The 27,913-nt window shown below is 41.9% G+C and overlaps 2 long non-coding RNA genes across 5 annotated transcripts in view, besides 1 other annotated feature; both read right to left on the reverse strand.

The window, feature by feature from the left end:
- Window positions 1-27,913, reverse strand: part of HCG17 (HLA complex group 17) — a 92,096-nt gene that overhangs the window by 61,726 nt on the left and 2,457 nt on the right.
- Window positions 1-27,913, reverse strand: part of HCG18 (HLA complex group 18) — a 39,760-nt gene that overhangs the window by 8,368 nt on the left and 3,479 nt on the right. For 3 of the 4 annotated variants that reach the window (NR_024053.2, NR_102326.1, NR_102327.1), the window contains exon 2: window positions 368-473. This is a non-coding gene — a long non-coding RNA (HLA complex group 18). Of the gene's footprint in view, window positions 1-367; window positions 474-18,504; window positions 18,719-27,913 lie in introns of all 4 variants that reach the window. The other variant, NR_024052.2, reaches the window with a different exon arrangement.
- Window positions 15,554-15,754: a silencer, noted in NCBI's record as "peak5752 fragment used in MPRA reporter construct". NCBI's record gives its function as "represses an SCP1 promoter by STARR-seq MPRAs in K562 erythroleukemia cells {active_cell/tissue: K562}" and the evidence as "EXISTENCE:reporter gene assay evidence [ECO:0000049][PMID:32103011]".

Genomic DNA, 27,913 nt, shown 5'->3' on the forward strand with positions numbered 1-27,913 from the left:
TTTCTCTTCTCTAGATTAGCTCAATTTTTTGCAACACATTTCCTGTATGAACTATAACTATAGCCATTTCTAGATTAATACCTCTTGTCAGCAAAGCAAGACAGAGGTATTCTCTGGTCATGAAGAAAATTCCAGAAAAGAGCTCTGAATCAAAGGCCAAAATCCTGGCATATCTGGTGCTGTGCAGAGCTGAGAGACTGGCTGAAGAGTGTGCCAGCAGTAAGCTATCCTAGGCATAGGGCCTGACTAGAAATCAAAGACCCTAATGTAGCAGTATTGCATCATCTATAGCCTAGATTATGCTGCAATGATATACAACTCCCGTATCTCACTGGTATAAACCAAAAAGATTTCTTTTACATGCTACCTGTTCATCAGGAGTTGCTGAGGGGGTCACTTGGAGATCCAGGCTCGCCAAGCAGCCACTGTCTTCAGCACCAGCTAATGCCCTGCTAGTGGGCAAAGAGGGAGCTCTGGAAGAACATAAACCAGCAGTTAAATTCCCAGTCCAGAAGAAATACATATCACCCCTACTAACACCTCATTACAGGGCACAGATGATGACAATAATGACCTCTCAGGCTTAAGGACCCTTCAACTCTGAGAGAGGGTATCTAGTGGTCACCTAGCTACTATCCTGTCTTTCCCTCAGGCAGAAGTGGGTGTGGTTTCCAACACCCCCAGCTGTGTCCCGGTCCGTGACAACAAAATCTTTGTAATCTAAAGTTTGAAGCATTTCAGAGGTCAGAAGGGTGTTTGCTGTTACGACTCTTGCTCTCACTTCTACCTGACAAGAGAGAAGAATTTGTATAGACTGTTAGACATGTTACTATTTTTTGAAAGCACTAGGTATTTGGGACAAGGTCAACATGTTTCCCTATCAGAAATCACTCATAGATATGTTCTTTGAGGTCAGGAATTCTATGAAATAAAAATAAAGAAAATTATTGAGCCTCTCTTGGATGCCAGCACCATGCTCAGTGCTTTCATTTTTTTCAGTATACTCACATTACTGATTATCCTTCATTTTACTTATGATCAAAGCAAGAGTTGAAGGAATGTCCTTGGTTCAAGGCTACACCCTAGGAGACACAGTCAGAATTTAAATCCAGCTTTCTTTCATTTGAAAGACTGTGCTCTGTGCTGGACCACACTGTACAGTTTTTAAAGTGATCTAACAACGACAGCATCCATCAGTGAACTCTGAGTCTACCAAACAGAAATTGCTCTTAATGGGTTCATCTAATGGCAGGGCCGGCTCAAGGCAAAATTTTTTGCCCCCATCCCTCTTTTTCATTCGACACGATTTTGCTGTATCATCCAGGCTGGACTGCAGTGGCGTGGTCACAGCTCACTGCAGCCTCAAACTCCTGGCTCAAATGATCCTCCCTCCTTATCTTCCTGAGTAGCTGGGACTATGGGCGCATGCCACCATACCTGCTAATGTTTAAAATTTTTGTAAAGATGGGGTCTCACTATGTTCCCTAAGATGGTCTCAAATTCCTGGCCTCAAGCAATCCTCCTGCCGCAAATCTCCTGAAGTGCTGGGATTATAGGTAGAAGCCACAATGCCCAGTCCCCTTCTCCCTGATTAAAAATATATTTTTTTATTTTTTTTCACTATTCAACTTCCATTTTAGGTTCAAGGGGTACATGTGTAGGTTCGTTATATGGGTAAATTACAATGTTGTGGGGGTTGTGTATACAGATAATTTTGTCGCCCAGGTAATCAGCATAATACCCAAAAGGTAGTTTTTAAGTCTTCACCCTCCTTTCACCCTCCACCCTCAAGTAGGTCCTGGTGTCTGTTGCTCCCTTGTGTCCATGTGTACTCGATGTTTAGCTCCCATTTAAAAGTGACAACATACAGTATTTGGTTTTCTGTTCCTGCATTAATTGTCTTAAGGAATGGCCTCCAGCTCCATCCATGCTGCTGCAAAGGACATTATGTCATTCTTCGTGGTTGTGTAGTATTCTATTCCACGGTGTATATGTACATTTTCTTTTTTTTTTTTTTTTTTTTTTTTTTTTTTTTTGAGACAGAGTCTCGCCTTGTCACCTAGGCTGGAGTGCAATGGCGCGATCTCGGCTCACTGCAACCTCTGCTTCCCAGGTTCAAACGATTCTCCTGCCTTGAGTAGCTGGGATTACAGGCACCTGCCACCATGTCCAGCTAATTTTTGTATTTTTAGTAGAGACAAGGTTTCACCATGTTGGCCAGGCTGGTCTCAAACTCCTGACCTCGCCGAACTCCACCCGAATCGGTCTCCCAAAGTGCTAGGATTACAGGCGTGAGCCACCGAACCTGGGCATCTAGGTTGATTCCGTATCTTTGCCATTGCGAATAGTGCCGCAGTGAACATACATGTGCGTGTGTCTTTAGGTAGAACTATTTATATTCCTTTGGGGATATACCCAGTAAAGGGATTGCTGGGTTAAACGGTAGTTTTAAGTTCTCTGAGAAATTTCCAGACTGCTTTCCACAATGGCTGAACTAATTTACATTCCCATTTGCAGTGTATAAGCATTCTCTTTTTTCTGCAACCTCATCAGCATCAGTTAGTTTTTGACTTTTTTAATAATAGCCTTTCTGACTGGTGTAAGATGGTATCTCATTGTGGTTTTGATTTGCATTCCCCTAATTAGGGATATTAAGCATTTTTTTTCTTATGTTTCTTTTGAAAAGTGTTCATGTCCTTTGCCCATTTTTTAATGGGGTTCTTTTTTGCTTACTAAGTTCCTTATAGATTCTGGTTATTAAACCTTTGTCAGATGCACAGTTTGCAGATGTTTTCTCCCATTCTGTAGGCTGTTTACTCTGTTGACAGTTCCATTTTCTGTGCAGGAGTTCTTTAGTTTAATTAAGGCTTATTTGGCAATTTTTGGTTTTGTTGCAGTTGCTTTTGGAGTCTTCATCATGAAGTCTTTGCCAGGGCTGATGCTCAAAATGGTATTTCCTAGGTTTTCTTCTAGTATTTTCATAGTTTTAGGTTTTACATTTAAGTCTTTAATCCACTTTGAGTTGATTTTTATATATGGCGAAAGATAGGGGTTCAGTGTCATTCTTCTGCCTATGGCTATCCAGTTATCCCAGCACCATTTATTGAATAGGGAGTTCTTTCCCCATTGCTTGTTATTGTCAATTTTGTCAAAGATCAGATGGTTTTAGGTATGTGGCTTTATTTCTGAGTTCTCTAATCTGCTCCATTAGTCTATGTGTCTGTTTTTGTACCAGTGCCATGCTGTCTTAGTTACTGTAACCTCATAATTTGAAGACAGGTAGTGTGATGCCTCCAGCTTTGTTCTTTTTGCTTAGGATTGCTTTGGCTATTTGGGCTCCTTCTTGGTTCCATATGAATTTTTGAATTTTTTTTCCTAACTCTGTGAAAAATGTCATTGGTAGTTTGACACTGAATCTGTAAATTGCTTTGACTAGTATGGCAGTTTTAACAACAATATTAATTCTTCCTATCCAGGAGCATGGAATGTTTTCCCATTGGTGTAATCTGATTTCTTTGGGCAGTGTCTTGTAAAATTCTCATTGCAGAGATTGTTTACCTCTTTGGCTAGCTGTATTCCTAGGTATTTTATTCTTCTTGAGGCTACTGTGAATGAAACTGCATTCTTCACTTGGTTCTCGGTTTAGATGTTATTGGTGTATAGAAATGCTACTGATTTTTGTAAACTTATTTTGTATCCTGAAACTCTGCTGAAGTTCTTTTTCAGATCTAGAAGCCCTCAGGAAGAGACCATGGAGTTTTCTAGGTATAGAATCATTATCTATGAAGAGAGATAATTTGACTTCCTCTCTTCCTATTTGGATGCCTTTTCTTTCTTTCTCTCACTTGACTGCTCCAAATAGAACTTCCAGTACTATGTTGAATAGGAGTAGTGAGAGTGGGCATCCTTGTCTTGTTCCAGTTCCTAAAGAGAATACTTCTAGCTTTTGCCAATTCAGTATTATGTTGGCTTTGGGTTTGTCAGAGATAGCTTTTATTATTTTGAGGACTATAACTTCAAACCTAGTTTGTTGAGGGTTTTTAACATGAATGAATGTTTAATTTTACCAAAAGCCTTTTCTGCATCTATTAAGGTATCATGTGGTTTTTGTTTTTAGTTCTCTTTATGTGATGAATCACATTTATTGATTTGGGTAAGTTGAGCCAACTCTGCACTCCAGGGATAAAGCCTACTTGATCACAATGGGTTAGCTTTTTGGTGTGTTGCTGGATTTCATTTGGTAGTATTTTGTGGAGGATTTTTGCATATATGTTCATCAGGGATATTGGCCTGAAGTTCTTTTTTTCTGTTGTGTCTCTGCCAGGTTCTGGTATCAGAATGATGCTGGTCTCACAGACTGAGTTAGGGAGGTGTCCCTCTTTCTCAATTTTTTGGAATAGTTTCGGTAGGAATGATACCAGTTCTTCTTTATATGTCTGGTAGAATTTGGCTGTGAATCCATCTGGTCCAGGACTTTTTCTGGTTAGTAGGCTTTTTATTACTGATTCAATTTTGGAACTTGTTATTGGTCTGTTTGGGGTTTCAATTTCTGGTTCAATCTTGGGAGGTTGTATGTTCCCAGGAATTTATCCATTCTTCTAGGTTTTCTAGTTTGTGTGCAGAGGTGTTCATAATAGTCTCCAAGCGGTTTTTGTATTTTTGTGTGGTCAGTGACAACGTCCCCTTTGTCATTCCTGATTGTGTTTATTTAGATTATCTCCCCCCTCCTTTTTTTATTAGTCTAGTTAGTGCCTATCAACCTTATTTATTCTTTCAAAGAACCAACTTTTGCTTTCTTTGATTTTTTGTACGGTTTTTCTCATCTCCATTTTGTTCAGTTCAGCTCTGATTTTGGGTATTCTCTTCTGCTAGCTTTGGGGTTGGTTTGCTCTTGTTTATTTAGTTCCTCTAGATGTGATGTTAGGTTGAGATCTATCTTTTTGATGTGGGCATTTAGCACTATAGTTTTCCCTTAACACTGCTTTAGCTGTGTCCCAGATTCTGGTATGTTTTTATCTTTGTTTTCATTAGTTGTAAACAATTTCTTGATTTCTGCCTTAATTTCTCTTTGTTTACCCAAGTCATTCAGGAGTAGATTAATTTCCACTTAATTATATGGTTTTGAGAGATCTTCTTGGTATTTATTTTTATGGCACTGTGGTCCAAGAGTGTGGTTGGTATTTCAGGGTTTTTTTGTTTTTTTGAGATGAGTCTCACTCTGTCAACCAGACTGGAGTGCAATGGCGTGATCTCAGCTCACTGCAACCTCCTCCTCCCAGGTTCAAGCAATTCTCGTGACTCAACCTCCGAAGTAGCTGGGATTACAGGCGCATGCCACCATGCACGGCTAATTTTTATATTTTTTAGAAGAGATGGGTTTTTGCCATGTTGGCCAGGCTGGTCTCAAACTCTTGACCTCAAGTGATTTGCCCACCTCAGCCTTCCAAAGTGTTGGGATTACAGGTGTGAGCCACTACACCTGGCCGGTATTTCAGGTTTCTTGAATTTGTTGAGAATTGCTTTCTGGCCAATAAAGCAATTGTGGTCGATTTTAAGAGTATGTACCATGTGCAGCTGAAAAGAATGTATATTCTGTTTTTGTTGGACAGAGAGTGCTGTTTTTTGTTTTCCATTTGCTTGATAGATCTTTCTCCATCCCTTACTTTGAGGCTATTGGTGTCCCTGCATATGAGATGGGTCTCTTGAAGACATACAGTTGGGTCTTGCTTCTCTGTCCAACTTGCCACTCTCTGCCTATTAATTGAGGCATTTAGCTCATTTACATTCAAGGTTAATATTGATATGTGCAGATTTGATCCTATCATCATGTTGTTATTTGGCTGTTATGTAGACTTCATTGTTTACTTGCTTTATAGTGTCAATGGTCTATGTACTCGAGTATATTTTTGTGATGGCCAGTATTGGTCTGTACATCTCAGGGTGGCTTAAAGCACTAGGAGAAAGCATGCAAAACAGCCCAAGGTGAAGCTCACTTGGCAGCTGAGAGTGAGTTCACACCATGTACTCTAAAATGAGGAGGTGCTCTTTTCTTCTCACTCTAATTAAAGAAGACTGAGAAGCCCTTCAGCACTTCACTGTGCCCCCTGCTGCCCTGCACCTCCCGGCTACTTTGTGGTAGATTCCTGGCACTTGAACTCTCTACAGGCCCAGGAGAGAACAGCTTTCTTGAGGTCCTAAGGATACCTGAGAATCATTCTCAGAGTTAATGGAATCTTCTATATTTTCTGTGGATTTTGATTATCTACTTTTTTTCTAACTTCTGTGAGATTAGAGAATTGAAAGCCTGTCATATCACTGGAACTCAGTTAAAATGTGGTGTCTTCTCCAATATTGTCCAACTAGAAGATGTGGGAATCCCAACTGATATAAGAACTAAGAAATATGACTACAAACTAAAGGGAAAATAAGAGAAGAACTTAAAGAATATTTGGGAGTTTTAGGGAGGTCATAACTGTAATGAGCTAATGTCATCCATATGTCCAAGGGAAAGTGAATCTGAATTTACAGGGCAACTTCCGTGGGCCAGGTTCCTTCACACATAATTTCAAGTCATGCTAAAATGAATGCATCCAAGGAAAATTTTATCATACATAACTTATGATAAGGAAACTTATGCTTAGGAAGATTAATTAGGAGGTTAAGGTCACCAAGCCTCTAGACTGTTTCGCCAGGACCCAACCCAGGTCTGGCTTCTGTTTGGTTTTGGAGTATGTGTTATCCCCACTCCATCATGCTGCCTCTCCAACCTGCAGCCCAGTGCCCAGGGCACAGGGGTCAGGCCAAGATCAGAAGGGACACTAACACCAACAGGCCTGGCGAGGTGGGAAGTACAGGGAAGGGGTGACTCCAGCTTACTCTTCTCTCCCTCCCAGAGGGACCATCAGGGCCATTGGCACTGTTGGGTGATAGAAGTTGTAAATACGGGGTAAGGTACATGGATGACACCATCTCCATATGTGTATGTGATAGAGTGGCAGGCCAGAAGTTAATAGCCACATCCAGGGAGCCAAGGATATAGTTCCCAGTAACGGCGCTTGCGTTCTGCTCTCAGGGCTGATGAAAGAGGATGGAAGTTGTACTCTGTTCCTCTACTTCAATAGAAAGTAAGCTAAAAGGAGAAATTGGGAGACAGAGGTTTACAAAAGGAAATTTATAATGGGGTCATATCAAGATAATTCAAGAGGGAAAATAAGACAAGGTGGCTCCTTCCCTGAATTGGTGACACAACACTAATCACTGTCCCCACAGAGTGGCTGGGCCTGACCCCAACTACAGGAGCTCAGCTGTCTCTACCCTCTGAGGGTAGACAGGAAGCAGTGGTCATGCTACTGCAGCCTAATGACTTGAGATTAGAATTGGCCATTGCCCCACTGCAGGGTGTGTGCCCAGCACACTTTGACAGCTTCCCTCTCTGTTCAGTCTTGAGAAAAAAATAACACTAAATAAGGAAGGTGAAGCTACAGAAAGTCCTGACTATCAAAAAATGTTAACATTCAGGGCGAGGAAAGACTTTAGAAATCATTCCAAATTTCATGAGGGTAAATCAATTGTAAGGGCCATTAAGGTTGGCAAGTGGCAGAATATGGATGCAAACCTAGGGCCCTTCACTCCTCCTCCAGTGCACTTTCCACCATGCCAGGAGGAAGGGCGAAGAGTAAAGGTGCCAGGGGAAGGGCTGAGGCTTGTCTCCTTCCACTTCTTTACCTCACAGAAAATGAAGGATACAAATGGAGCCGAAAATTTAGGCCTCTGGAAGCTACAGGTCTGTTTCAGATGGATCTATTCTTTTTCCTGGGTTCAGTGAAGTTATTTGGCCATAAAGCCCTAAGCCATGTATGATCATAACATTTTAAGAAATAGAAGCCAGGTATTAGAAGGTTCCGTTTTCTCTATAAATAGTTCAAAGTATCTCAATGAAGTTTAGGTATCCAAAAAAAAAAATACCCCAACTTTAGGAGCATTAAGTATTATGAGTAATAAAATAAATACTTATAGCAATGGGGGTTTCAGGACAATTTACCTCTTGAACATAAGTAGATATGCTCAAGAAAGCTATCCCAAGGACAGGGTTGCATGCACGAAGAGACGAGACCAAGTTAAGTTCCACAGTCAAAACAGACATCCCTATTTCCTTCCTAGTAGCATCTGTACAGCATAAATAGGTATTTGTGAATGAAGTCATGAAAAGATCCTCAAAGGTCTGTGTTAGAGCAACTGTGGTTAAAATACGAGAGTAGGAAAAGTGAGATTCTCCAGTTAAGTTACTAATAATTCAGACTTAAGACTTTTTAGAAAGATGATCATCTTTTATTTCTTTCAGGAGCCATGGCTATCAACCTGGAGAGAGGCCAAAAGACACCTAGGCTTTTTGTAAACCAAAGATTGAGGTATCCACATCAGTCAGCAGTGGCTTCTGCAGCAGCAGCCACAGAAAGTGAGTAATGGAAACAAAAGGATAGAGATATACAGGAAGTCCTCTTTCCTCACCTGGAGAAGAAAGAAGACAGCAAAAAAAATTAGGTCAACCCCACAATCAAGGTAGAGCTGCTCTAAAATCTGAGGTAGCCAATGACCAACACAAACCACCTCACCTTTCTGAGACTCGGCTCTCCTGTAAAGGAGAAACCACACTGACCCTGGATCAAAATCCCCAGACAGTAGACGTGACCTTGGATTTCAAGAAGGAGCAAATTACCTCTGCTAATGCAGATAAAGACGCCACCATTTTTGGTTTTCAGGATTTCACAGGGAAAATAGTCCCATTATTTGGCCTCTATTAGCCAGAGGCCCAGATGACCCTGTGTCCCTGAGATAGGACATGGCTTTCCCATGGCCTCTTATGAGAACCTGCCCACCAATAAGTGTTTTTGTTGTTGTTGTTGTTGTTTGTTTTTTAGACAGTTTCACTCTTGTTGCCCAGGCTGGAGTGCAATGATGCGATCTCAGCTTACTGCAACCTCCACCTCCTGGGTTCAAGTGTTTCTCCTGTCTTAGCCTCCTGAGTAGCTGGAATTATAGGCAACCCCACCACGCCCAGCTAATTTTGTATTTTTAGTAGAGATGGGGTTTCACCATGTTGGCCAGGCTGGTCTTGAACTCCTGACCTCAGGTGATCTGCCCACCTTTGCCTCCCAAAGTGCTGGGATTTCAGGCGTGAGCCACTGTGCCCGGCCACAATAAGTTTTTAATTACCAGAGTCAGTGGTTCCTGTCATTGATTGAGCTTACTGACTGGACAATGAGAGGGTCATATGTGGCTGTCTCCAGCCATTACATTAAGGTGACACTTGAGCATGACACGAGGTCTGCATTCTCTACAATCAACTGGATCTGTCCCACTGCTTCCCACCAGGAGCAGAAGCATGCTTGTGCCAGTTCCTAAACATCATCATTTCATTTTCAGCCCACAGCCCTCCCCTGCTCAGATTTCCCACCATCTAAGGCAGCAATCCTCAAATGCTAGTGTGCACAAGGATCTAAGGCACTTGCCGAAAATGTAGATTCCTGCACCAACCCCAGAGAACCAGAAGCAATCCCTCTAGGGTAGAGCTTGAGAATTTGCTTTGAAAAAAGATCTTACATGTTTTTGGATAACACTTAAAGATGGTCCTAGAACAGTGCTTCTGGAAATTTTAATACGTAAGCAAATTAAGAGCAGCTTGTTAAAATGCAGACGTTTAAAAACTTGGTGCAGGCCTGAAATTCTGCACTCATATGTTCTCCCAGAGAAGCTAAAGCTGCTGGTCCTTTTGGCCACACTTTGAGTCACCAGAACCCAAAGGATTTCCGGCCTGTATCTGGGCCCAAGAGAGCAAAAGTGTCACAAACACACACAGTTTTAACCTTCCCTGATTCTCTGTGGAGTAGAATCTTCTCCCTTACTTCCAGTCAGACAGGTCCCCATGGATAAGGGGGTACTGCTCTGCCTTGTGTGCCCTCAGTTTCCCTTTATGGAACTCTGTTCTGATCTCAAGCTTCCACTAGACCTGCTATTAGAAGTGCTGAACACTGATTTTCTGTGAGTATAAAGTAGTTAAAAGAAAAAAGAAATATATGTAAGGCTGTAGAGTTTCCATCTGTAGATATCAAGAAATGAGTATGAACTGTTAGGCATTCCCCAAGATTGTTGTTCAAAGATCCTCCCAAGTTTGAGACCTCAAATTCTTTCAGGTGATATTCATATCATTTACTCTTTTTTTTTTTAAACTTAGAAAGTGAGTTGCAGCAAATTTTCTCCTGAAAGAATTGCAAAGATGAACCGTGGCCTCTTTCTATATTCATAATTTTTGTCTTAGGGTTAAAAAGACTCCCCCAAGGACAGAAAATTGTACCTAATGATACAGCCTAGAGCGCATGTTGTTCCTTTTGTCTACAGTACCTTCTACCTCTGGCTCAAATGCACTCTGGTCACTGATGCACCTCCAGTTCTCACAGCTTAGTAAATTATGGTGTAGTGATCACGTCTATGTCCCTACTTCCCCAACCAAATTTTCTGAGCTATGCCAGGGTGAGGATGTGGCCCTTTTCATCTTGTAATTCCCAAAAGTCTGTGGTGGAGTGCAGAGATGACCACTAAATGAAAGAATCACTCGTACTGGTTGAAACAATACCAATAAATACCTTAGGTTCTGTGGTGAACACAGATCAGTAAATAAATGTTGGGCAATCTTCCAGTCTCTCAGTGTCCCACGGTATATCTGTTCCCCCATAGGGAGCACAGCTAGAGCTCCTTTACCTACGCTGCGGGGACACTGATTTGCATGGGGAGGCCTGGTGCAAGGCCTCTGCTGGGTATGAGCAGCAGTACAAGCCTTTGAAGGCTGTGTGCTGTTCAGAACTTGGAGCTGGTTGGGGGCCTCCGATGCCCTGTGCTGACAAGCTGGCCTGGGGCTTCTCCCCACTAGAGTCTTCTCTATATCTCAAGGTATGCACATCTCTTCCTGGGCACACAGGCAATGGGCTAGACAAGCATCTCTCTCCTCTAAGGCTTGTCACCAAGCATTCCTTCCTTCCAGGGGGTGGGGTTTGGAAATTCCCACTTAATATAGCCCACCTTCTGTCATTTGACATTTTCTAACACTGGAGTGGTGGTTCCCAATCTCTTCACCATCAAGGAGGCTTAATTTCTTCCCTCTCTATTTTAATACGGTTTTAACTACCAAACAGGATCCTCTAAGTGATCATTTGTTTTCTTATACTGTTCATCAGAGAGATGTTTAAGATCAACATGAAGATGACAAAGTTACATCATTTGCTATTCAATATTGGAAAATACATCTCACCCCATATTGAGATCCTAGTCTGGGCTAGCTGAGTTACGGGGGCTGCTAAAACTCTAGTAATAGCAACAGCTGTCTGCCTTCCATTCTCCTGCTATGGCACACACTTCTTTCCTTCAGAATCACACCCCCGAGATATATGATTCATAACCTTATGGCTAGAAAAAAGAGGACATGATCATTCTACAGGTCCCTTGCTCCCTTGAATTACCTCTCCTGGGCCCATTAAGAACAGGCACATGAAGAAAGAAACCCAGGGTTGTGCCACAATCGCACAAAAATCTGTCCACAGATAACACCTCAAGGAGGTAGGGCCTGCCCACCTGAATCACTGTTGTCTACATAATGCAACTTAACCATCCTGTTCTGCGTTTAGCTATTCAAGACTTTTGTAACCAGTCCCTGGGGTATGGGTTGTTTTCCCAATTGTACCCTGACTGAATCACTGGGTATCATGTCAGAGGAGGGGGACCTATTTAACCTCTTTTCCCTGGTGTCCTGGAGCCCAGGGGCTCCTACGTGGCAATGGGTGCCAGATACCCTTCCTCAGCTAGGATATAGGGGTCCAGATTTCCATAATATCTATAGATTGATTTACTTAAAACTTATTTGTTGTCAAAATACAAATACCCTGGGCTTAGGAAGAAATTAATACTTATCAAGACTATGTCAAATAAAAACAACTACCACTAACTGAAACCACTTAGTTATCAGATATATTATACATATCACTCCATGTAATCCTCCCAACAAAATGATGTCATCTAAGAGATGAGAAACTGGGACCCAGACCAGTGAAGCCCCATGGCATAAGTCACACAGGCAAGAAATGGTAAAGCAAAAATTCACACCTACGTCTTCCTGGGCTTTGCCATAACGCACACTGGCTTCTTCACTGTGGCTATTGCCTGACAGAATGAGACTCAAGTAATTACAAGGATTCATCAGAAGGGAAAAGCTGACATGACCAGAACTAGAACACAGCCCAGGGAATGCAAGTCTGGGTAGATCATGGTACTCGAAGCCCAAGGATCATTTGAAAGAGGTTTAAAAAAATAAAAAAAGGAGTAAAATGCACAAGTGAAATGGAGGTGAAACTTAACTATAGCTTAATTTTTACTTCAAAGACTGCTCAGCTCATTTTGGGAATGTGAGGGGAATTAAGAAGATTCTGGATAGGTTTGTAGGAGAGGCAAGGTGTGTAGGGTATATGTGGGGACAAAGGGAGCAATTGTATCCTAGACTGTATCCAATAATTTTCTGGGACAAAAGAGAGCAAATGTAGACGTGGGGAAGTAGTAGCTTGAGTGGTATCAGGTGCCAGAAAGAAGACCAAGGGAAAAACCTCTGATGACCATGGGGATAGTGTAAATTGAGTAGCAAGAGGAAGGAGGACTGCAGAAGTTCAAGAATGATGAGAACTGAGGAAACGAAGATAAACACAGAGATAAACACAGACAACTTCACTGCAGCGAAAGAGAAGATGGTGTTACACAGGTAAGCAGGATCAAGAAATGGCTTTTTTGTTGTTGCTGTTGTTTGTTTTTTTTTTTTTTTTTTGATTCGGAGTCTCGCTCTGTAGCCAGGCTGGAGTGCAGTGGCGTGATCTCGGTTCACTGCAACCCCCGACTCCCTGGTTCAAGTCTCCTGCCTCAGCCTCCCGAGTAGCTGGGATTACATGCACGCGCCACCATGCCTGGCTAATTTTTGTATTTTTAGTAGAGATGGGGTTTTGCCACCTTGGCTAGGATGGTCTCGATCTCCTGACCTCGTGATCTGCCCGCCTCAGCCTCCCAAAGTGCTGGGATTACAGGCATGAGCTACCGCACCTGGCCTGGCTTTTTTTTTTTTTTTTTTAATGGAGTGTAGCTCTATTGCTCAGGCTGGAGTACAGCGATGCGATCTCGGCTCACTGCAATCTCTGCCTCCCAGGTTCAAGCAATTCTCCTGCCTCAGCCTCCTGAGTAGCTGGGACTACAGGCATACACCACCGCACCAGCTAATTTTTGTATATTTAGTAGAGATGGGGGTTTCGCCATGTTGGCCAGGATGGTATCGAACTCCTGACCTCAGGTGATCCACCCGCCTTGGCTTCCCAAAGTGCTGGGATTACAGACATAAGCCATCGTGCCAGGCCAAGAAATGGCTTTTAAAAATGCTGATTTGAAAGCAAAAGAGAAGGAAGTAGAGGAGAGATTTATGATTTTAAGAAAAAGGAGGAATATGAAGGATCAACTTTGCTCTTTTCACCAGCCAAAGGGCATATTCTAGAAAGATGGTTTTAAACCTTCTCTTCCTGCATTTGTAAGTGTGCAAAGATGCCATGCCTTTATTTCTCTAGAACTGGTTTTTCTTCCTCACAAGTCTCTCATCCATAACCTTAGTCCAGCCCAATGGACAAAACCATGAGGAACCTCAAACACCCTTCCAAAAAGATTTAGATTTTACTCAAGAGGTGAAGGAGAATCATTAAAGATGACTGAGTAGGGGAATACTATAGTCAGAGTTTTTTGTTAGAAATATCACTGAGGCCATACAGGGGAAAGACTGGGAGTGTGGCAAGAGAGTGAGACCAAATGCTCAGATAAAGGTAGGGAGGCAATTGTTATAGTCCAGAACTGAAATAGGACAGTGGAAGTGGAAATGGAGGGAGGGGACAACAAAGACATGTTTAGAGATATCAGAAATTGACCATTAAAATAGGCATACAGGAAGGGAAAATGTATCTCATTAATTAAGAAAGCAATGGCATACTGGATACCAACAGCAAATAGCAAAGAAATGGTTGTGTGGGTGTGTGTGTTTTTTTTTAAGGGAAAAAAATGAGGATAAAGGGAAGAGAAAGTGATGTTACTAACCCTCCATGTAATGATAATCTCCAAATAGCTCTTCCCAGCAGTTCCATACTTAAGGGTCAGGATCTCCATTCAGGGATCTTTCTGTGGTGCTCTAAAGGGGCAGACTGAGGACTTTAAGGGCTATCACTTTCAGGTGGCTTTCTAAGCAGCAGAATTCGTGGGATGAGGAGGACATGCTTGTTCTTTACAGATTCACTGAAGTGAATCTGGGGGCTGATCGATGATAACACTGTGTTGATCCCAGAGATGACAAAGGGGCTGAGTGTGAGATAATGGAGTTCCTGAAACCCCTACGATGAATATGTCCACCCTTCCTTTTCATCAGCTGCTAGTCCCTATCTCATCCTTCTCCTGTCCCAACCCCATTATTCCTAAATCTGAGCTCAGGCTTGCCAGCACCTCTAGGAGTAAATCACAAGACTGAGACCAGAGCAACAAGAAAAGCAGAGACAAATGACTCAACAAGACAGCCACAGGAGGCAGGGCAAGGTGGCTCACGCTTGTAATCCCAGCACTTTGGAAGGCCGAGGCAGGCAGATCACGAGGTCGAGATTGAGACCATCCTGGCCAACGTGGTGAAACCCTGTCTCTACTAAAAATACAAAAATTAGCTGGGCATGGTGGCATGTGCCTGTAGTCCCAGCTACTGGGAGGCTGAGGCAGAAGAATCACTTGAACCTATGATGCGGAGGTTGCAGTGAGCCGAGATCATGCCACTGCACTCCAGCCTGGCGATAGAGCAAGACAATGTCAAAAAAAAAAAAAAAAAAAAAAAAAGACAGCCAAAGGAAAGGGACTAGAAGAGAGAGGAATGCAAAAGAATAGAAAATCTGGGCCAGGTGTAGTGGCTCATGCCTGTAATCCTAGCACTTTGGAAGGCCGAGGCAGGCAGATTGCCTGAACTCAGGAGTTCGAGACCAGCCCAGGCAACATGGCAAAACCCCATACAAATACAAATACAAAACGTTAGCTGGGCATGTTGGTGCATGCCTATAGTCCTAGCTACTTGGGAGGCTGAGGCATTAGAATTACTTGAACGCGGGAGGCGGCAGAGATTGCAGTGAGCTGAGAATTCACCACTGCACCACTGCATTCGAGTCTGGGCAACAGAACAAGGCTCTGTCTCAAAAAAAAAAAAAAAAAAAAAAAAAAAAGAACAGAAAATCAAACTCTAACACCATCACCTGGGTAGTTCCCTCCATTCTCCTATGACTTCCAATAAGTCATTAGCAGATCACCTATCATCTCTTTAATTTCTTCAAAAACAAATAAAATCTCAAACTTGCATTTGGGAAACTGAGAAACTTTCAGGAAACACAGAAACACATCTTCAGGACCTTGGACAGCAGAAAAAGGACCACCCCGCACACACCCCCACCCCACCCCGGCCTCCCCACAACACATGACACCCACGCCAGCAAGACTGCTGAGGAAATGTGACACCTCAACATGCTGATGAGGGAAAGGATAAATAAAGGGCTATATAGTCATCAATGGAGAGTGTTCAGGGAAGGTATGAAGACTCAGGCTACAATAGTCAAGAGGAGCCCTGGGCCCTACAGAATGCCTAGTCCAACTTCCTAATACTCTGAGCCAGAGAAGGACATTCTCTACACCTACATTACAACTTCCCTCTTCAGACATTGATTTTTAAAAGAATATATAGAATAGAATATTGATATTGAGACTTTTTCCAATTCCTTGGGGAAAAATGCATAAAAATATAACTTGCAGTTCACGGATCTAGAAATAGCCTTACAAATGATAAAGAAAATTTCACAAAGGTAAAATATCTCATCAAGGTAGAGTAACACAAGAGCTGTTGACCCAGTATTAGTCCTTGGACATCCTGACTTCTGTGCAGTGTTTTTCTCTTTGTAGTTGGTAAGTGGCTAAAGATCTGGATTCTTCTTCTAGCTCTGCCATACACCAGATGTGTGACCTTTGGCAAATTACTCAATCATGCTGAGCCTTGGGTTCCTTCTTTGAACTGAGCCCCCACCCCCACCCCACACGTCAGGCACTATTAGGGAATGAAAAACAAAACCAATCTCCATGCTAAAGTAGCTCTCCAGTGTAGCACAGTTCAGATATGAAAATATCAATAATCCAACAATACTAGTTAAACATATAAAAGTAGTACAGAGAAAAACATTAATAACCTGACATTTAGAGCAAGATTAGGAGGGCTTCACAATATAAGCAAAGGGAAATCCAGGAAGAAGAAACAGTAAAAGCATCAAGCGGTGCAACAAGACATTAGATTTAGGAAACCATCAATAATTTAGTTTTGATGGATGGCAATGGTGGTGGGGAGAGACATGGGGTAATGAAACCTATCATATACTGATGTTGTGGAAGTCCAATGAGTCACTATAGATAATCATTAGCTACTATTATGCCAACAGCTATCCCTATGAGAAAAAAATTCCTTAATTTAACATTTATAGAAAACCTCTGTTTGCTCCCTATACTAGGGGCAGCTCCTTTTGGTCCCTTCCTAAAGAAATAGAGCCAGTTTGAGAAACAGGAAAATCAAGTTCCATACTTTCCTAGCCTATGAAATACCAGTCAAGAGGTAAAAGTGCTTCCTCTGTCAATATCCTGATTCTTCCACTGAAATGTCACTTAGCAGAGCACATCTTTTACTTGTGCGATTTGAAAACAAGGCTTTGCCTAAAGACCAGGGTATGCAAGGGATCACCTCTGGGACGATCTCATGGCACTGAGCACTCAAGCAAGGTGGTAACATAAGAGTCAGACTTGATAAAAGTCCATTTCCCAGGACCACTTGACAATAAGGGCACAGAAAAGTGCTCTGAGGAATAATCTTCATGCTATTACCATTTTCAACCTCTTGTACTTAATACTAATTTTCTTAGCTTCCTATAATTAGATATGTACATATGAGCTAGTAGCAGCCACAGTCCTACAATCTGACTAGTTCATGCCCAACTGCATGCCTGCATCAGGGACATCTGGCTATTGTAGTGTCATGGAAACTCTCCTCTCTGGTGAAGAGTATCTAGAGACACCCATGAGTTTTATTATCTATACCCTGTACTGGTTTGAACAGTGTCCCCCAAACTCATGTCCACCCAGAACCTCAGAATGTAATCTTATTTGGAAATAGGGTCTTTGAAAATATAATCAAGTTAAGATGAGGTCATACTGAATTAAGGGTGGACCCTTAATTCAATGACTAGTTTCCTTGTAAGAGGGACACTTGGATGCAAAGAGACCCACCCATAGAGAATGTGATGTGATGATGGAGGGAGAGATTGTAGTGACAAGCCTACAAGCCAAAGAATGCCAAAGATTGCCGGCAAATGCCAAAAGCTAGGAGAGAGGCATGAAATAGATGCTCCCTTAGACCCTCCAGGAGGAACCAACCTGGCTGACACTTGGATTTCAGACTTCTGGCCTCCAGAATTTTGACCAAATAAATTTCTGTTGTTTTAAACCACCCAGTTTTTGGTAGCTTGTTAAAGCAGCCCTAGGAAATAAATGCATACCACCACCACTCCATCTATTTTCCTTCTATGTGCCCAACATTTATCTTCTCAGAGGATGATTATAAACCCTAGTTATTGTATCAACACACGGGAAGGGACACTGAGCAGAACAGCAGGAGAATGAACAATTAGTATCAGATTAGCAACTTCACAGGTAAGGTAAAGGGCATGGGAATTTACTTCTCAAGGCTCTATAATATGAGACTCTTTAAAAACCCTGTGGTGTTTTTATATACATCTACAAGTTCTGTGATATGCTTCCTTTGAAAAAGGCAGAGCCTAATTCCCCTCCCTTTGAGTGTGGTCAGTGCTCGATGACTTGCTTTTAACAAACAGAAGTGACAGATGTGACTTCTGAAATTAGGCCATTAAAAACAATGTAGCTTTCTCCCTGCTCTCGCTCTCAAATCACTTGCTCTGGGGGATGCTAGCAGCCATGCCATGAAGACACTCTAAAAGGAGACTTATGTGACAGGAAACACACCTTCTGCCTCAGGCACACCCAGCACACCCTGCCAGGCACATGAGTGAGCTACCTTGGAAGAGGATCCTCCAGCCCTGCTCACACTTTCAGAACTGCAGCCCCAGCTGATATCGACTGGAACCACATTAGACTCTGAGCCAGAGCCACTCAGCTATGCCATTTCCAGATTCCTAACCACGCAAACTGTGAGACAATACAAGTTTATTGTTTTCAACCATTAATCTTTGGAGAAAAACAGGGCAATAGATAATTAACATAAGAACCTTTAACATAGTCTTCAAGTCCTAGTAAGTACTCTTCCTGCCTACAAGACACCCGCTATGTGATTTCTTCCTGCCTCTAACATACCTCTGAAACAAGTGCAATTCCAAATCCCTTAACCCAAGCTAGAGCATAGAATTCACAGGACCGCTGCCTTTGTCCTCCTCCAGCTCAGAGACTGATGTCTATATCATGAATGCGCTAAGAAAGGGAGAATCACGAGTGGAATCCAGTATCAGTAGCTGGGAGCAAAAGACACTTGCGGTAAGGGTCCTCGGGTTTTTCACTGCAAGACTTTTACCTGTCAAAAAAATTAAAATGGAAAAGAAAATTTAATCATTTGAAACAAACATTCATTGAGTACCTTCAATGGTAAGCATAGTACCAGACAGCAGGCATAAAAATGGTCCCTGCTTAGAAATTCACAGGAATGACAAATAGGTTTTGTAACAGAAGCTACTGCTGTACCATTTATATTCCCTTAGACCAAGATCTGGCTACAGAATTTGTGAATCCCTGTGCAAAACAAAAACGTGGGGTCCCTTGTTCAAGAATTTCAAGAGGACAGCAGCAGACCAGTAAACCAACTCCATAGGTATATGTCCATGAAGCTAGCCCTGCCTCAGGCATTCACCTCTGTGTGAAGGCTACTAACTGCTCTTTCAGTAAGCTTTTTTCTGGCTGATTTGGATGCTTAATTTGCACCAAGGGAAAGCTTAATATCCCTGAAAGCAGCACTCAACCAACGGCAAAATGGCAGTTGGTAGATAAATGCTCCAGCTTCTTCCCCCCTTGGGTGGTATAACTGAGAACTATTCTAGTGTTGAGTTTTCCAGTGGGATTGAGATGCAAGTGTCCACAGTGTAATTGGGAGATTCCTTAAGATTACCTCTAAAATAAACTACTTATACTCACATTCTTATCTCACAGTCTGCTTCTTGGTAAACCCAAACCATGACATCTTTCATCTTTCAAGCCAACTCTAACTTGGAATACAGTAAAATGAAAAAAATCTAAAGCTGCATCTCATTCAACAGGAATGAATGTAATATAGTAACGCTGGCCCTCACCATGGCAAGGAAAGTGGTGGCTCTTTAAATCTGAATGGTGAAAGACCTTGTGTTTGGACTTTGAGACAAAAAGCTGTTAATGAAGGCTGTTAAGCAGCAGTTACAGGGTCTTATTTTAGAGCTACTTCTTTCCGTAATGTACAAGTGGATCAAAGTGTGGCAAGGCTGAAGGTAGGAAAACCAATTAGGAAATGAGAAACTCGCAACTGGTAAATAGGACAGGATATCTACCTGGATGACTACCCACATCATTGACCAAAATGGAGAAAGCACACTAAGTTGTCAAGAATAAATCAATCTGTGTCACATAAGTGGCCACAAGTACTGGGATCACCTACCCATTGAGCCCCTGAATTTAACTAGCAAGGAGTGGGAAATGAAGAAGGCCAAGGGGCCGATGATGAGCACTGGGAACTGATGGCTCTTTTTGATACTAAGACCAAATTAGGAACACGAAGCACTAACAATGCTGCCGCATCCACCACTGATTTTCACCACGGAGTGCTTAGCAAAATCAAAACAAGAACTTGTATCCTAAAGATGATATCACATGGGCCTACTGAACACTAATCTTACGACTTTTTAGGAATTTAGAGATGATCACTCCATGAGACACTGAAATGGTGTCTAGCTTGGCAAGGTAGAAGTCTGTTTCTCTGACATGTGATGGCCTTGTTGTAGGTAGTCTTGGACTAAAATGCTGTCAGCAACATAGACTTCCTCAGTGTTCCTGCTCTGGAACTCCCAAGGCAGTGGTTCCCAAAGTCTGCTGCACACTGGAATCACTTGATTTTTTTAAACAATGATGTCTGGCTTCCACCCTGAGACATTCTCATTTGATTGGTACACATGGTGTGACCTGGGAACCGGGATTTTTAAAAGTTCCCCAGCTAATTCTAATGTGCAGCAAAGTTTGGAGGTGACTACCCTAAGGAACTGGGCCCACCACAGGGTCTGACAGGGCTTACCGCCATACCTGTACTGCACTCCAAACAGTGGGACAAAGCAAGGGGCATGAACCAGAAGCTGCACACACCATCTCTGCTCACCCTTACTGGCCAGTCACATGGCCATACCTGGTTGCATAAGATGCTGAAAAATGTAACTTGTATTCAGCCAGCCATGTGCCCAGCTAAAATTTTTTATTCAGGAAGAAGAGGAAGACAGGTACTGGAAGATAACCAGCAATCTCTCCCACCCCCACGCTTGTCTTTTTCAAACAGAAGCAGCCCAATCTGGCAAAAGTACCGATCCTTAGATCTGGAGACAAAACTCAACAACGGGCTTCTCTGACTTTTGTCAGACATCTTGCACATCACATGTAGATAGAGCCAGAGACTGTAACGCATCATTGTCAGCGGGAAGAAGATACAAGCTTGGAGATATGCATCAGAATGACTACCCATGCAAATTCTTGAATTTTCACCTGAGGGAGGTGTTGGAGGAATAAATTGTTCTACGGGACAAAATCAGGTGCAATATCAAAATTCCATGTACCCACTCTAGTTGACTGAATACAGTGAAGCATTTCCAGTACAACAATATAGGAAAACTTCAAATAAAGGGGTATTCTCTAAATTCCACTAAATACATCATCTTTGGCCTGAAACTATCTTGTTAAGCTACTTGTTGAGACTCTTCACTCTAGATATGCTTGGTGCTGCCTTTGCATTCAAGTCCTGTTTTCCAGACGAAATACAGACATAATCCAATTGTAATTTCATCACCATGCATCTTGGATGCTGCAGTTAGCCTAAATGAAATAAAATATACTAATCATGAGTGACAGTGATTTTTTTAATCGTAAAACGTATTATCAAGCTATTTATAAGTAAATTTCACATTACAAATAAGGCATTAACTAAACCACTGCTTTACAGAAAATCACTTAATGACACTCTAGTATTATATACTGTTTACAGATTAAAAACTTAAGTTTAAAAAGGTAATTTGTTTGAAGTCACATAGCTAGTAAACTACTAGTTATAACTTAATTAAGAGTACATTGAATTAAGTTATAACTAGTAAAGGACTAAACTTCTAGACTTGAACTTCTGATGGTCTGACTTCAAAAATATCTTATTTTTAAAATCATAGCACGGAGCACCTTGTATATCATGATATAGCTATATTACTTTGCAGGGTTTTTATGTCTAAGTTATTTTCTCCTCCTGTTCCACTTCCACCCTCCCATTCACTCTCTTCTCTCCTAGTAGACAAAGTCCTTACCTGTCTGCCAGTCCCCAACCCCATGCATGCAATTACCTCATGGAAGGACGGAAGGGGGGCAGGGAAGAGGGGACCTCCTAGCCCACCACCTTCCAACACACCTCTGCAGAGCCCAGGCCCTTTCAGGCACCCCAGTCACAGCCACACCAAGCTTCTAGCTACTGCTCAGCACACACTTACCACCTGGTTTCCCTGTGCTTCTCATTTGTAATTTTGGATTTTAGTCTAGTTCAGACATTCCTTCAATTCACATTAAGCATCCATTTCCTCTCTGATATTCTTGTCTCTGGTCCCTTTTTTGTCTTATCCATTTGGACATCTATTCCTAAGCAAAACATTCTAAATTCTATTTTCATTATCTTACTCCTTAGCCCAGATCACCAGAAGCTCCCTACTATCAACACAAATTGGAAAATCTCTGGTGTGATTATGAGGAGACCATTCAGTATTTTCTTTGACACTATTAAACAACATTGAGTTTGCCTAATGTCAGTACTAAAGGCCAGGTTGTAAAATAGTAAAACCTGCAGTGGTCTCTAAGGCAACTAGCTGTTTATTATAGTAGTTGGGGAAAGGAAGATATAAAAAATCTTCTAAGGAACTTTATTATAGATCTGTTTACTTAGGTAAAGCATATACAGGAAGATGCGGGAATCATAATAAATGCTTATGAAGCAAAACTAAATGCACCTGTACTGCTACATCCAGATTCACATACAAACGACAAAGAGCTTATATCCAGACTGCATGTGTCTGTTTTTGCACTGCTATAAAGAAATACCTGAGACTGGGTAGTTCAGTTTATAAAGAAAAGAGGTTTAATTGGCTCACGGTTCTGCAGCCCGTACAGGAAGCACAGTGGCTTCTGCTTCTGAGGAGGCCTCAGGAAATTTACAATCATGGCCGAAGGTGAACAGAAAGCAGGCACATCTTAAATGACAGGAGTAGGAGCAAGAGAGAGAGTGGGGAGGTGCTATACATTTAAACAACCAGATCTCACAAGAACTCACTACCATAAGAACAGCATCCAGGGGGAAATCCACCCCCAGGACTCAATCACCTCCCACCAGGCCCCACTTCCAACATTGGGGATTTTCATTCGACATGAGATTTGGGAAGGGACACAAATCCATATCACAGACTGTATAAAGAACCCCTCCAGTCCAGGCGTAGTGGCTCATGCCTGTAATCCCAGGGCTCTGGGAGGCCAAGGTGGGAAGAGTGCTTGAGGCCAGGAGTTTGAGACCGGCCTGGGCAACACAGTAAGACTCTGTCTCTACAACAGAAAAAAAAAAAAAAAAAAAGGAATTCCTCCAGGTACGGGGGATGCTGAATATAGAGTCAAGGGTGATTATTCCCCAGCTTTGAGATTTAATGTCTGCCCTCTTAGGCTTTGGACTTGCTTGGGGCTTATTAACCCTTTCTTTTGGCCTACTTTTCCCTTTTCAAATGGGAATGTCTATCCTATGCCCGTCCTGCCGTTGTACCTTAGAAGTAGATAACTTGTTTTGATTTCACAGATGGAATTTTGGACTTCTGAGTTGATGCTGAAACAAGTTAGGACCTTGGGGATATGGGGATTAAGTATAGTTGTATGTGAGAAGAACATGGGTTTGGGGGACCACAGGCAGAATGCAATGGTTTGAATGTTTGTCCCCTCCAAAACTCATGTTGAAACTTAACCTTCAATGTGGCAGTATTGACAGGTGGGGCCTTTAAGAGATGTTCATGGATTAATGGGTTATCATGGGAGTTAGACTAGTGGCTTTATAAGAGGAAAAGAGGCTTCAGCTAGCATGCTCTGCTCCTTTGCCATGTGATGCCCCATACCACCTCAGGATTCTGCAGAGTTCCCATGAGTAAGGAGGCTCTGACCAGATGCATCCCCTTGACCTTGGACTTCCCAGCCTCTGGAACTGTCAGAAATGAATGTTATTTTTTTTCTAAAAAATAAACAAAAAACTCCTTCATAAGAAAAAGATTGATGACTCAATGGAAAAATGTGAGCAGAACAGATGTTTCAGAATAGAGAATACCAAATGGCCTATAAACATAGGACAATATATACTATCTGATTTGTAATCATGGAAAATACTCAGTAAAAATGGCCAAAATTCAAAAGTCTGAAAATACCAAGTACTGAGAGAATGTGAAGCAATAGGGACTCTGCACTGCTTGGTGGAGCTGCTGTGAGCTGATACTAGGGAGAATGAATGGATCTGGGAACAGAGATTAACATGTAAATAGTTCTCTTTGACACTGAAAGGGTCTGTTCAGGTGCGAGTACACTCTGGGTCTAACAAGGGAGGGCAAGAAAAAACAACAGTTCTCTTTGGTGGGTGTAGATCTTAGGCAGATAAAGAAACTTCAACTTATTTGAGAGAGGAGGTAGGGGATGGGGAGGTCACAGAGAACTCTGGGTTTCTTCAGTTTACTATGCCACAGCACCATATTTTCGGGTATGAGTTCTGAGCCCCACAATGGCCATAAGCACTTAACCACAGACCTAGTGACTATGTATAAAATATACACTAGATTCCAAAGACTTAGTATACAAAAGAACATAAAATATCTTATTTGTAATTGTTTAAAACTGATTACATGTTAAAATGATAATATTTTAAATATAATGGGTTAGGTTGGTAAAATAAAATATATTATTAAAGTTAATTTTAACTGTTTCTCTTTACCTTTTTTAATGCAGCTATAATTAGAAAACCACAAATCATATAAGCGGCTTGCATTATATTTCCTTTTTTGAGACAGAGTCTTGATGTCACCCAGTTTGGAGTACAGTCGCGCGATCTGGGCTTACTGCAACCTCTGCCTCCCGGGTTCAAGCGATTCTCCTGCCTCAGCCTCCCAAGTAGCTGGAATGAATTACAGGCATGAGCCACCAGGCCTGGCTAATTTTTTTGTATTTTTAGTAGAGATGAGGTTTTGCCATGTTGGCTAGGCTGGTCTCAAACCCCTGACCTCAAGTGATTAACCTGCCTTGGCCTCCCAAAGTACTGGCATTACAGACGTGAGCCACCGCACCTGGCTCGCTTCCATTATATTTCTATTGGACAGCACTGCTCTGGAGAAAAATTAAGATTCTCCTTTTACAGGATATTTTTAAAAAATATTTAAATGTAAGGAATAAAAAATATTGTAAGAAACCGAAGAAAGCAAATTAGAATCTGGAGGTCAGGATGGATTTCTTAATGAGGACAGGTAGGGGTGTGTGTGTGTGTGTGCGTTTGCATGCATGGACACACGGATAGGGCAAGCACACATACATGTGTGCATATGTATGAGACTGATAAACAATCCAATAGGAAAAATGGGCAAAGGATAGAATTGAAAATGCACAGAAAATCTGAATGGCAAACAGTAACATAATCAAAATTACTAAAGGAAGAGAAAATTAAAAGTAACTAAGACTTCTCTTTATTGGCTGGGAAAAAAATAAAAACATAAATAATATGTATCTTTGCTGGGCAAGTGGGAAGGGAGCAGGATCATACATTGTTGTAAGGAAATGTAAAGGTTAACAGCCTACTGAGAAAGCAATATGGCAACATCCATCAAATTAGAAACATGCCATATCCTTCGACCCAGAAACCTTTCTCACAAAAATCTACCAGCACATGACATGTGTTCAGAAAGTTATTATTGTAATACTGTGTAGCAGAAAAAAAGAGGAAACTAAGTATCAATAGGAAATGAAGTAAATGCCTATCTACTGACAAAAGGTTAAAAACATTACCTGCAAAACAAGACCTGTTATGGAATTATTAAGGATTATAAATAAAAATATCAGCAAATTTTTAAAAATATGAAAATATCAGGAATGGCACCACTGTAGGAAAACAGACTACAGTAGTTCCCTCTTATTCTTGGGAGATATGTTCCAAGATCCCCGGTGGATGTCTGAAACCACTGATAGTACTGAACCCGATTGCTGTTAATAGGAAGTTTTTTTTGGTGATGTTTCCCACCCACAATTTTAATGACTTTTCTATCTTAACCAAGTGCTTAACATGCACTGTGGCTGCAACTTTTCCATTTTGAAGTGTGACAGTAAAACTAGCAAAAATTTCTTTTTCCTCCTTTATAATTTCAGGGATAGAAGATTTGTTCTGACCATGGATCTTAGCAAACTCAGCATTTAAAAAATTTCCTTAAGTCAAGAACTTTTACCTTTTCACTTAAAAGAAGCACTTTATGGCTTCTCTTTTGTATATCCAAGTTGCCATCATTAGTACTCCTGCACTTTGGGGCCACTGTCATGTAAAATAAGGGTTCCATGAATATAAGCACTGTGATACTTAGGCAGTAAAATTGATAAGAAGGCTATTAAGTGACTAATAGGCAGGCTGCATATACACTGTGGATACTGGGCAAAGGGATGATGCAAATCCTGGGGAGGGATGGAGTGGTATGGCATGAGATTTCATCATGTTCATCAGAATGGTGCAGCGCCCAATTTAAAACAGGAATTGTTTAGGTGCCAATTTAAAACTTAGGAATTATTTCTGATATTTTCCACTTAAAATATTCAGACTGTGGTTGCCAAGAGTAATGAAACCTTGAGAAATGAAACCGAGGATAAGGGGAGGACTACTGTATTTCATGATATGCTGGTGTGGATAAAAATAGGTGCAACCTTACTGAAGTTGACCATGAGGTTGATCACCTGTTGACCACTGAATAGGCCCCACAGACAAAAGCTCCTGATCTGAGGAATTTCGAAGGGAACAAAGACCACCTGGTGACCACCAAACGGGCCAGACAGAGGCGAAACTCCTTTTCTGGGAATTCAGAAGTAATTAAACTTTCCTAGTATCTAAAGTCTGGTTCCAGGCCTCTTTCAACTTTTACAAGTAACTAAAATTTATATACATCTCTGAAATGCCATGCCGAAACTCTTTTTACTATCCTAAGCTCCTGCCTTAAGGTCCATAAATACCTCTAAAGAAAAATCCATGGCAGCACACTTAGTCCTCTTGCTGAGGCGCCCCACTGCACTCTTCTGCAGTGTTCTGTTACCGCCTAAGGGGTTCACCTTGCCCATGCCTAGACAGAGTCAATTCATCGAGACAGGGGAATTGTGATAGAGAAAGAGTACTTCACGCAGAACCAGCTGTGTGGGAGATCAGTCTCCCCGAGCACGGGGGAGCAGAGTTTTAAAAGATAACTTCGTGGGTGGGGGGAAGCCAGTGAGCCAGAAGTGCTGATTGGTCAGGGATGAAACTGTAGGGAATCAAAACCGTCTTCCTGCACTGAGTCAGTTCCTGGGTGGGGGCCACATAATCAGATGAGCCACTTTGGGCAGCCAAAGTGAGTGGATCACCGGAGGTCGGGAATTGGAAACCAGCCTGGCCAACATTGTGAAACCCTGTCTCTACTAAAAAACAAAAAAAAAAAAACAAACAGAAAAAGCCAGGCGTGATGGCAGGTGCCTGTAATCCCAGCTACTCGAGAGGCTGAGACAGGAGAATCACTTGAATCCGGGAGGCGGAGGTTGCAGTGAGCCGAGATCGTGCCATTTGCACTCCAGCCTGGGCGACAAGAGCAAGACTCCGTCTCCAAAAAAAAAAAAAAAAAAAAAAAGAGCCAGTTTATTGATGTGGGTAGTGCCAGCTGACCCATCAAGTACGGGGTCTGCAAAATACCTCAAGCACTGATCACAGGAGCAGTTTAGGGAGGGTCAGAATCTTGCAGCCTCCAGCTGCATGACTACTAAACCAAAAATTCTAATCCTGTGGCTAATGTTAGTCTAGTCCTCAGACAAGAAGGAAGTCTGCTTTGGGAAAGGGCTGTTACCCTCTTTGTTTATAAACTAAGTTTCTCCCAAAGTTAGTTCAGCCTACGCCCAGGAATGAACAAGAACAGCTTGGAGCTTAGAAGCAAGATGGAGTCGGTTACGTTAGATTTCTTTCACTGTCTCAGTCATCATTTTGCAAAGGCTGTTTCAGTTCTTCCTTTCTAATAAACTTTCCTTTTTTCAAACCTATACTGTTTGTAGGTATGGTAAATTCATTTTACCAACCTGCGAGTTGACCACTTCCCGGTGCCAGGGCTCTGACACCTTGCCAGGCACTTACGGAAAGATAATTGTAAAAATCTAATAGAATTTTAAATTTCCATGCCTTCGAACCCAGCAGCCAAACTTCCAGAAATTTATCCTACTAATATAATGGCACGACGAT

Source organism: Homo sapiens, chromosome 6 (genome assembly GCF_000001405.40).
Source record: "Homo sapiens chromosome 6, GRCh38.p14 Primary Assembly".
Classification (NCBI taxonomy): domain Eukaryota; kingdom Metazoa; phylum Chordata; class Mammalia; order Primates; family Hominidae; genus Homo; species Homo sapiens.